At 41.8% G+C, this 12,024-nt stretch overlaps 1 protein-coding gene across 10 annotated transcripts in view; it reads left to right on the top strand.

Moving 5' to 3' along the window:
• The window catches only part of MYOF (myoferlin), a 175,906-nt gene that overhangs the window by 85,624 nt on the left and 78,258 nt on the right, over positions 1 to 12,024 (top strand). For 8 of the 10 annotated variants that reach the window (XM_047425049.1, NM_013451.4, XM_005269693.5 and 5 more), the window contains 4 exons: positions 487 to 569; positions 3,756 to 3,794; positions 7,557 to 7,681; positions 8,798 to 8,914. In XM_047425049.1, coding sequence (XP_047281005.1) covers positions 487 to 569; positions 3,756 to 3,794; positions 7,557 to 7,681; positions 8,798 to 8,914 — 364 coding nt within the window. The remainder of the gene's footprint in view (positions 1 to 486; positions 570 to 3,755; positions 3,795 to 7,556; positions 7,682 to 8,797; positions 8,915 to 12,024) is intronic. The other 2 variants (NM_133337.3, XM_005269694.6) reach the window with 1 other exon arrangement.

Genomic DNA, 12,024 nt, shown 5'->3' with positions numbered 1-12,024 from the left:
GAAACATGACAAATATCGTTACCATCATCATGATCATCACAATCATAATTATGTAATGTGCCTATAATTGATTAATTCATTTTATGACAATGGTATTGAGTGTAGCCATAGGCACATCTCTTGGCCTCTCTGTACAATTGCAATTTCATAACTTCAGAATAAATTACCTTACTAGACCAGTGTTTCCAAAGGGTGACTGGAGGACCATCTGTATCAGAATCAATTGGGATACACTTATAAATGCAAATTCTTAGTCCCCACTCTAGGCTTATTGAATTAAAAATGTGGGCAGGAGATGAGGGTGAGAAGTCTCTAGTTGATTACTAAGTACAATAAAGTTTGAGGCCCACTAGACGTGATTATTTCTGAAGTCTGGGGTATTTTCCAGCTCTAACTTTTTTTTAATTGTTGAAATGAAGACATATCTTCCTAGATGGAGCTCTGAACCTTTTATTTTTTATTTTTTTATTTTTATTTTTTACACAGGGACCGTCTTACTAAAAATGATGTAGTTGGAACAACATATCTACACCTCTCTAAAATTGCTGCCTCTGGTGGGGAAGTGGAAGGTAAGTCACTCAACAGATCTAGAACAAGACTGGATACAGAACTTTTCTCCAGTCTGAGAAAAAAATGAACTGGGGTAGCCACCTCACAGTAGGTTTGGTTTCTTAGAAGCCAAATGTGATGAACCTAGTGAACCATTTCAATGATGTTTTGGTGATGGCCTGCAAAACAATTAATCATTGAAGTATATAAGTAAACTGCTAAAATCATAATCTAGTATGCATATATTGTAAACTTTTAGAAAAAAATGAAATTTACAGTTTGAAGATTTTCAGCTTTCTTGCTCCCATCCAAAACTTCTTTCCCAATAGCGGTTTTATGAAATTTTTGTGTCAATACAGAGAGCTAGCACCTTATTTTTTAGAGTGGCATTGACCCAAGTCCACCCAAATATAAAATAATACTCCCTTCTCAACCGAATCCCTTGGCAGGAACAGTAAGGTCAGATGCCAATGAACCATGTAGTCCTCACTCCCTAAGATAATGTGTATTTGGTCTTTACTCTGACAAGCATTGATAGCCAACACATTGTTCTTTCTGTTGTTTTCCAAACAATTTTCTTGAGAACTATTTGCCTATACCTGGCATTATGGTTTTGTGCATATGCCAGAAATTGTAACAGGGAATGAAGGAAAGCAGTTAAGATGATAAGAGAAAAAATTAATGTTAACACAGTAATACCAGCAGCTTATTTATTTTTTGAGATAGAGTCTCGCTCTGTCACCCAGGCTGGAGTGCAGTGGCGTGATCTCAGCTCGCTGCAACGTCTGCCTCCCAGGTTCAAGCAGTTCTCCTGCCTCAGCCTCCCGAGTAGCTGGGACTACAGGCGCATGCCACCACGCCCAGCTAATTTTTGTATTTGTAGTAGAGACAGAGTTTTACCATGTTGGCCAGGATGGTCTCCATCTCCTGACCTGGTGATCCACCCTCCTCGGCCTCCCAAAGTGCTGGGATTACAGGCGTGAGCCACCGTGTCCAGCCCAGGAGCTTATTTTTTGTGACCAAAACAAAAATTATTGTAATTGCCAATAGATTAAATATATTGAGAGATTAAACACATGAAACAAAGTGAGAGACTTTGAGACAAAATTTTATCTTGGGCAACTCAAGGTTCCTCTCATCCTTATCTTGTTTAAGGTCTTTTTATAGGTTTTGAAAAAACATTGTTAATTCAAGCAATGGATAACATAAATAAGAACCTGGTTATTATATATATACATATAATACTATATATACATGCATATATATATACACACTATATGTATGTATATATAGTATTAGATATTAGAGAGAAGGTAAAGAAGGTATTAGAGATATGGTGAAGAACATATAGATTTCCTCTCTCCAGAAGTGAAAAAAAAAAGCAATCAGAAGACGAGGTGGTGGCCGGGCCCAGTGGCTCACTCCTGTAATCCCAGCACTTTGGGAGGCTGAGGTGGGTGGATCACGAGGTCAGGAGATCGAGACCATCCTGGCTAACACGGTGAAACCCCGTCTCCATTAAAAATACAAAAAATTCTCCGGGCGTGGTGGTGGGCACATGTAGTCCCAGCTACTCTGGAGGCTGAGGCAGGAGAATGGCGTGAGCCAGGGAGGCGGAGCTTGCAGTGAGCCGAGATCGCGCCACTGCACTCCAGCCTGGGCGACAGAGCAAGACTCTGTCTCAAAAAAAAAAAAAAAAAAAAAAAAAAAAAAGACAAGATGGTGACCAAAGGAGATATAGTACAATTATAAATGTACATGGCTGGGCGCAGTGGCTCATGCCTGTAATCCCAGCACTTTGGGAGGCCAAGGTGGGTGGATCCTTTGAGGTCAGGAGTTTGAGACCAGGCTGGCCAACATGGTGAAACTCCATCTCTACTAAAAATACAAAAATTAGCCGGGTGTGGTGGCAGGTGTCTGTAATCCCAGTTACTCAGGAGGCTGAGGCAGGAGAATCACTTGAATCCTGGAGGTGGAGGTTGCAGTGAGCCGAGATTGCACCATTACACTCCAGCCTGGACAACAGAGCAAGACCCCATCTCGAATGAATAAATGAATGAATAAACAAATAAATAGCTATATGTGGCATTATTTTAAGCAAATGGTAGAAGGTAAGAAAGAGATTCCATCTGAATGTTCTCTGCTGAGTAGCATAGTGATTATAACACTGGAGCTGCAAGGAAGGAAATGTAATCACAGACCTTTCCTTTTCTCTGCAGAGAATATTTATATGGTTGCTAGAATGTAAGCACTATTTATTGTATTTTGATTTTTAAAATTTAACCTATAGCCAAAGCTCTGAACAAAGTGTAGATGTCATCACCCATTACAGTGTAAAAGTGTGGAAGATAGAGATGAGAAGCAGAAGGAGGAAGGGGAGTGGAGGTAGGGCAGGGGTGCTAATAGTCTCTTCTCTTCAAGTCAGGAATCTAAATATGACTATAGATGGAATCACAAAGGTGACCATTACACGAAATAAAAATCATGCTGGAACTATATGGGGGGAGGGTAAAGATGACTGAAATCCATTATTCATGAGAAGTCATTAAATAATATCTAAAGATAATTATTCAGAAATAGTGGCATAAGCATTTTGCTTAGTGACATGGTGGTAACATCCAGAAGAACTAAAAACAGAGATTGCTACAAGCAGTTTTAGCTTCTGTCTCTGGGGCCTCTCATTGCAGGCCCTGCAGACCATGGGGTTACAGGGCCTTAAAATAACAACGAGCTGTCAACATCGCCCTCCCCCCGACAAAGAAACAAACCATGCTTTCAATCAAATAATGTGCAATAAACTCCAGGCCTTTGCTTACACAGCCTCAGACCACATTTACTTGGATTTTCTGATGTTGGTCCCAACTAAGCCGTAAGATAAGTAAATGTTTTATTAAAAACGTGAAATGCTGGTAACTTCGCCAGGCCCCCTCTGTCCCCGGGAAGCTAGCTCTTCTGCTTCCTGGCTGCCTTGGTGCTGGGTGAGATTGAGTTATTCATGTGTGGTGGTTCTGCCCGGGTCATTTTGCATTTAACCGATGAGAATTGTATACATTACAAAAGGGTCATATGTGACTTGGGTCTGAATTTGGGATTTTTCTGGTGTTGCTAAATCACATACCTGGCACTGGATTTGATTAACGTTTTCAATGTCTGTTTTATAATGCCCGTGTTCTTCTTGTTTAACCAGTCATATTTTTACTATATAGATTTCTCATCTTCGGGAACTGGGGCTGCATCATATACAGGTTTATGCTTCGTAATTTTGCTCTCTGTTATATCTTCCTAGCTAATATTATCTTATTAAGAATGTATCGACTGTCTTTAGAACTTTTTTTTGACATTTTGCTGTCTCAACATAGTTTTGCTAAAGTAATAATTTTTGTGTAAGTGCCATACGGTTGTCCTGCACGGCTAAGCTTAAAAGAAATATGCTAACCAGGCTTTGCTCCATGTCCCATGCTTTCAGCTAAATGCACACCATCGTATTTGGCTTTATTGCAAATAATTGATTGTGAGATATAACATTTTCTGTTATTGTTTATGTTCAGTAAGTAGAGAAATGGACCACTAAATCAATTGTTCTGAAATGTATCAAGTAACTTTCCCCCAATTTCAACGTGAATCTCTAGGTTGAAAAATACTGAACGTTTTTTACTTTGCACCCTGAAGATCTTCACCTCCCCCAAAATGAGGGATCATAACACATTCTTTGGTTTGCACAGAACTCGTCATTTTTTGCAAGTTTGCTCAATACTGTCACACACTTGACCATCACAATTCTCCTAGGGCAGATGTTTTTGTTCCCCTAATAGATGAAGACTCTGAGGTTTAGAGAGGTTCATTATCTGTCAGATAAGCATGATTCGCCCTGCCATAATAATCTCCCAGGGTTGTGGTAAGAAGGGAAAGAGATATTGCATGTGGGAAAGCTTTGCAAACTCTGAAGCTGTGTGCAAATATAAGGTGATATCATGTAATTATGTAATTGACACAATGCCCAATTCTTATTTGCTTTAAACAATCTATTTCATTATAATCAGACTTTATATGAATATTAAGTAGTCCTTAGATTTGCAGTGGACTTGGCAGATGTGCAAGCACTTTATTCCTTTATTTGTTTAACCAATCAATGAATATTTATGTAGTAGTATCACATGATAGAACCAGTAGTAGGTGTTTAGGAAATCAAAATAAAACATACTTAAATCCTGCCACTCCCCCTGAAAAGTGATACTTTAGTCACAGAGATGTGCAGCTATGTAGGATTCTAGAAACTAAAACATACAGTAATTATTTGTAGGAATCCAAAACATGAAGGGGATTCAAAAAGGTAAAGGAGGCATGGAAAATATTGTTGGAAAGTGGGTTGTAGCTAGGTCAGAGGAAATCCTTGATGGCCAGGGTAAAGGATTTTTATTTTATTTTATATAGGCTTTTCAGCAAGGACATTGGGAAGTTTGATGTGTCCACTGTGCATTAAACGGACTAGGAAACTTTGGAGGCAGGAAGAGATTTAGCTTATGAGAGAATGGGTTTTCTTTTTTTGTTTCTTTCTTTTTTTTTTCTGAGATGGAGTTTTGCTCCAGTCAACCAGGCTGGAGTGCAATGGCATGATCTTGGTTCGCTGCAACCTACACCTCTTGGATTCAAGTGATTCTCCTGGCCCAGCCTCCCTAGTAGCTGGAATTACAGGCACCTGCCACCATGCCTGGCTAATTTTTTTTGTGTTTTTAGTAGAGATGGGGTTTCGCCATGTTGGCCAGGCTGGTCTAGAACTCCTGAACCTCAGGTGATCCGTCTGCCTCAGCCTCCCAAAGTACTGGGATTACAGGCGTGAGCCACCATGCCTGGCCTAGAGAATGGGTTATCCCAGGAGACTATACTAAGATGTGAGCACATAGAAGGAGAGTTCCTTCTGTTAATGCACAATGAAACAAGTCAAAGGGGTAACATACCAGAAAAGAGATTTGTTGGACAAAAATAATTAAGCCCCTGGCATTAAGCTGATATGCAGTGGATCATTCTTGACAATTTGTGTTTCAATCCCTGGGGATCTTTAACAAAAAGCAAATACACATGACAGCACAGTCATTCAAGGGAACCAGGTGGAGGAGAAGTGAGGTTAGACCAAAGGAATGGATGGGGTAGTGGAGGGTGTCCTTTTCTGAGCTTTGAAACTCAAGATCTGGGGTTAAATCTGCCAATTTGTGGGACTTTTGACAAGTTGCATCACTTCTGTGGGCTTTGGCTTGCCCATCCATAATGTGACATGACTATGGTGCCATAGCTTTAACATCCATTCTTACTGGAATATTCTGTGATTCAACTTCTTCCTCTTTTTTTTTTTTAAATCTTTTTTGTGTGTGATTCAGCTTCTAAAAATAACTTCCTTTTCTCTCTGTGAGTCTCTGCTTTAATTCTCTATTCGCACCCAACATCCCTCCACTAAAACAAAATATTCTAGCACACAGAAAGAAGTCCAAACCCTACTTATTAGTGATCAATTAATCGTCTTTGCAATGTTCCATATGCCACAATGGATAAAGCCAAGCCAATTTATATGTTCATGTATAATAGTCATTCCTCCTGTTTATCTGTCTTGAAGATGATAACATGATTCAGAGAAATCTCTGTTGGAGAAACTGTTGGTCCCTCTTTGTGTTTCATAAGAGATTTCCAAACAAGTGTGACATGTGGCATCCTAGGCTGTTACCAAGTCTCAACCTTAGGCTGCGTGCACTAGTTTTGTACATCTTAATTTTCTAAATTTTCATTTAAATGTTTCTTTTTTTCTTGCTGTCTTCACTGAGATTGCTATTCAGCTCTTTTCTGCCTGTGTCCATGATTTCTGTCTCCCCACAAATGTGTACACGCCCATTTAAACATGCAGAGAGCTTCACGTAATGAAAATGACTGTGCAGTATATGTCTATAGGGTTAGGTAAATTATTTATTAATGGGCATCATTCTGATGACGCTGCTCCACATTTATCTTTCTCCCTTAGTTTTAAGCATAGAGTTGGAAAGGGCCATAGATATGATCTGGTCAACCTCATCGATAGCAGGAATTATCCTGAGAACATGCTGAAAGATAGGCTGAAGCCTTTGCCTCAACATTTCTTCTAATTGTCCCTAATGCAGCCTGTCCCATTGTTTGTCATTTCGAATTCACAGAAAGTTCTGCCTTATACAGAGTGAACCAAAGCTGATCTCCCTGTAGCTCCCAGCAGTGGTCCTTACTCTGCTTCTGGAGACAAGTCCATCCCTCTCCCATGGGGGGCCATTCAGGCTATTGAAGGCAACTCTTATATTTCCCCACCCTCACCCGCAGTTTCCCCATTTTCAGCTATTTAATTATATTGCCCTTAGTGCCCTTCATTGAGGAGTTGTCTTGCTAAGACCAGGTAGCAAAAATAAGGAGCTTATCAGATGACCACCAGAGATAGAAAGCAATGAATGGGAATCTTCATGTCATTTATGAATATCACATGGTCTTACAACCACAGGCAGGCAGTTTATTATTACATATAAAATTTAAAAATGTCTTATATTTTTAACAGCATCTGCTAGAGTTATACTAACTACTGAAGATTAAATGACACTTTAGAAGAACAAATAAAGTTCATAAAATATGTCATTTAAGTGACTTCCCAAAACAATATAATCTTTTGCCCCAATTGGCAATGGCATGTTTAATACAATGCCCATTATAAACTTGCAAAAATGTGAAGGTCAACTTCAAAGTCTAATTGCTCTTTATTTAAATAGCATTATCTTTTTATAAAAATAAGTTTATCTGCGCTACCCCCAAATGTTTTTATTTAATATTTTATGTAGCAATAAGAAAAGAGAAATATGGCAAACCTCATGGTGCTTACAACTTGCATTAATACAACTAACTCCCAAAATGGAGGAAAATAGTCTCACCTAACTAACTAATAACTAATATTTATTTCAATAGATTGAATGTTAAAAGCCTAACACCTCATGATGATGTTTCTCTCTCAGTAAACACAGGAGAAACAGAGGTAGGCTTTGTTCCAACGTTTGGACCTTGTTACCTGAATCTTTATGGAAGCCCCAGAGAGTACACGGGATTCCCAGACCCCTATGATGAGCTGAATACTGGAAAGGTTGGTTTCTCAATTAAGGTGGTTATTAATCAGCATTGGTTAAGGTGATTATTTCTTCTTATAATGTCTGATCAAGTATTGCAGGATAGAAGTTTCATACTCCCTAAGACTTAGAATGCAAAGATAGGAAAAGACTGTGGAGATCATCTCACTGGGGGATGGCCAATGGCCAATGGCCATTTCCCCCAACTTCTATGCTTATGGTAGACATCAATAATCAATGCTGGCTCTCTTTCCTAATAAGCCCCTGGGCTGCCTTGGAATTCTTTTCAACATCATATTCCAGGAATTTACCAAGCACTAGGCAGTGGCATGCACCCTGAAACCCTTTATTACCCTTGATCTGATCAATCCTTTCATTTCATAGATGAAGACATGGAAGCCCAGAGATGGGAGATGCTCTTTTTACCACAACAGAAGCCAAATGTCTTTTAGGTTATCTCCCAAGGCTCAAGAAAGAGACCAAGCTAGAGAGAAAAAGCCCTCAGAGGGGAAGGGTAAAAGACTGGCTGTGGAGGTGGGGACCCTTCCGTCCTTTCCAGAAGGTTCTATTGCCAGCACTGCTGGGTATGGTGGGAGAAGTATCCACTCTTCATCCTCAGGCTCAGCTGCACCCAGAACTTCTTCCTCCTACATCTTCCTCCTTTACTTCCTGGCTATTCTGAGACTTGCCCTGGTTGCCAGCATGGCAGCCTCCCTATTCTGAGAAGAGGAGAAAAGCAGCCAAGTTAACCCAGATAAATGCAGAGCTTCCCTGCTGAAGTACGGTGAAGGGAGACTTAGAGCCCCATCCACCCCCCACCCCCCACCTCCCAGCCTCCACAAACTCCTTCTGGAGCTAGAGCATGGTTTGAAGACCTCTGACCTTGGTCACAGCTAAGATCTTTTTCAGCCCTAGCATCCCAAGGTACTCTTTGAGATCTGTCCTAAAGCCAATGGCTCTCTTTCAAACACCAGAGACCTGAATCCAGCTGGGAGAGTTGCCGACTGATTCATTTCGAAGGTTAGGGCCATGGGAAGGAGAAACTTTTTGCAGTTGTATTAGCCTGACTAGAGACACAGAATTCTTTTTGCTGTTGCTGCCTAGAGGAATAATCCTGGATTATTGCCTTTCAGGGGGAAGGAGTTGCCTACAGAGGCAGGATCTTGGTTGAATTAGCCACTTTTCTTGAGAAGACACCACCAGATAAAAAGCTTGAGCCCATTTCAAATGATGACCTGCTGGTTGTTGAGGTAAATGTTAAAGTGTGAGTAATGCATGGTATAGAAAAGGAGACCTCCAGGGACTGAAGGGGTAGCTGGGGGAGTCGGAAGGCAACCCAACTCACAATGAGGCCCTCATCTGGATGTTTCTACAACAGCCCTATGAGGATCGCTTCATCCTTTGAGATGTTAATACCCTATTGAAAACTGGCAAGAACACTGATACCCACAAACTGAATGACCTGTTTGCTAACTGGCGTTGGGGGTCATGGGGAAGTGGCCATAACAGCCACTTCTTGCTGGCACCAAGAGCTGTAGGTGCCACCTCTACTCATTTCCATTTTCAGAGGTGGCTGGTGGGCCTCAGGCTTCCCAGCACAGGAGGGCAGGTGTGCTGAGGGCCCACACTGCAATGGCTGTGAACCCCGCTTCCTCCTTGAAGACAGGAAATCTTCCCAGTTGACTTCCCCAACCATTTCTGAGAATCCAGGTCGATGCCTGTGTGTTCCACAAATCTGAATCATTTGCCAGCACAGCCAGCTCATGGATGCCCCTCTGCCCGCGGCCCTCCTTGCTGGGTTGCAAATCACCGCCAGCCCCCCAGCTGCCCCAGGCTGCTGTTGCCCTCTGTTCCAAGCACACAGGACAGGCCCTGCCCTGATTTCACCACTTTACAGCAGAAACCAAACAGCAACTTTTAAAAAGCTTTCACTTTCAGTTTTTGGGATAAGAATACGAAAATACAGTAAAAAGGGTGACAACGTGGTTGCGAAATGTGGCTATTCTCAAAGCTCATGGGGTCAGGCTGGTGTTCTGGGTCCCTGACAGTCAGCCTTCCTGTCTACTCGCAGCCTGTCTCCTTGTGGCAGGACTGGGTTCTCCATGCTCTCCCCCAAACTCCCGTGGTACCCAGAACACGTTTTCATCTGAGTCCAGGCCCAACTGCCGTGAGTTCTCCAGCGAGCCAGGGCCTTCTCCCTCTAGTCGTCTGATGTCTGCCTGTTACATCTGCCCCCTTTGCAGGATGATTGACAGGGAGAATAGCCACACCCTTTAACAGAAACTATCCCTTCTTCCCCAGAGCAATGTGGCCTTGCTCATTGACTCCCAGAAGGCAGCCGTATCAGGAGGTTAGCATCCAAAGCAGTCTGTTCTGGATTCCTCAGCCTTTACATGTTGGGAACATCTGTGGTCCAGTGCTTGAGCTGCACCAATTTCATTCCTGTCTCCTCCTTTGAGAGGAAAGGAGCAGGCTCCTGAGACTGCCCTCTCTCCACCCCCCAGCCTCAGGAAGGAACCTAGCATCACCACAGCAGCAAGCCACGGGGCATCCGTGTAACTTCACATGGGGAAAATAAATAGTTCTTCCCCATGAATTACTACAGCAAAGATGATCATTTGTTTTGTTTTTTTACTAAAGAGACACGGAGCCAAAAGTCAATAAGGTCCTGGTCATAGTCTTTCTATTCCACAACATTACCCACTCTGAAGTCCAGGAATTGCAATAGATCTTGAGGAAAAATTAAGAAAAGGAAAAAAGAGGGCGGGAGAGTGAGAAAAGGGACAGTTTGCATGCTAGTTACAGCCAGGATCATGCAAAAGAATAGCCAGAAACCACTTGGAGGCCTCCGTGGAGACACATGGTGGTTCTTGACTTGAGTAGTTACAGATTGGAGTTAGCTCTTGAAATATTGGTTGGAATTCAGGGTTATTCAGAAATGCCACCATGGACACTCAACCATTATAGTACCTCTTTTATTTGGTTCCATCACCAGAATGTAATTTAAGTTCATGCTGCTTCTCTTTGTTTTAAATAACCATAGTTGCAGGGAGAAGGAGAAAGAGGCCCAAGAAAATATTTTTTAAATGCTTTATTAACTGGAATGCAAAACCAAATTAGTTTTCTTCACTGCAAATAGTTAAACACATACAGGCAAAGAAGCTTATTTCATTAATTTAGTGTAAAAGCAAAAAAAAAAAAAAGTCAACAATATATATTGCCCACAGTATATGTCAACAGAATAAAAGAACAGCTTTTTATTGACTGGTAAAACAGAATTCATTTTCTTTGCTCTAAATTAAACACAGACAGCAAAATAGCTCATCTTTTTAATTAAATAAATATAAATCAAAAGTGAAATGAAGCAAAAATTTTAAAAACCTAACAGTGTTACAGAATAGGAGAGAAATGAGGATTCTGAAGACATAGCCACACTTCAAGCAACAGGAGCCCCAGGAGAGAGTGAAATGAGCAGATCTGTGCACCTGCCAGAAGGACTTAACGAATGCAGTCAACCTACAAACATGCTCATGACCCTTGTCTGTCTTGCAAAGGTCCTCTGTTCTGGATTATGTGCAGCTAACAAAACTTTTTGGTAAAGCTAAAGAGGCTGCAACAAATGGGCAAATTTTTTGCCAAACTGCCAAGTGCTCCCCATCTTTCTAAAGCAGAGCTGAGCTATTGCTCCCGGTGGGCCTGGTCAAGAGAGGCTGCAGTGCAGGAGGGATGCAGCAGATTCAGCCTGGCCACTTCCACAGTAAGAATCAGGCAGACAGAAGATCAAGTGTTGCCAACCCAGTGTTATTCTAATACCCGCTGGCTTCTGGAACCTCTGCCCTGCCACTAAAGGACTCCATTTTTTGTCTCCAGGATCAAGAGTCTGTTCTTGGACTGCTTTCTCCCTGCTCCTCTTTCCCCATTTTCCTTGGATGTGACCGAATGTATTTTGGGAGCATTCTATGCACTTGCATTCTCTCTCCTACTCAACTACAATCTCCTTGAGAGCTCTCATTGGTCTGGCCCACATTAAGGGCTCAAAAATATTGCTAGAAACAGCACCTTCAGGTTCTTCCAGCTGCTCCATCAGGTATCAGCTCCCTTCAGTAGACATACCGAAGGTGGCATGCTGGGCAGTGTTCATTGGTACCTGATCTTGTCACTGACCTTTAATGTCCCATGCCTTGTGTGTCCACAGCCACTTTCAACAACTCTTAGCCCTTATCGGTATCTTGCTTGACAGAAATCACCTCCTTTTGCAAATCGACTGCTGAAACTCTACTTTATACCACCTTATCCACAAGGTGCACTAGTCACTGATGATCAGAAAGAGAGCCCCAAGGCCCTAACCCCACCTAAGTCC

This window comes from Homo sapiens, chromosome 10 (genome assembly GCF_000001405.40).
Source record: "Homo sapiens chromosome 10, GRCh38.p14 Primary Assembly".
NCBI lineage: Eukaryota > Metazoa > Chordata > Mammalia > Primates > Hominidae > Homo > Homo sapiens.
The sequence above is the reverse complement of the archived record's forward strand: the minus strand, read 5'-3'. Positions and strand labels throughout refer to the sequence as shown.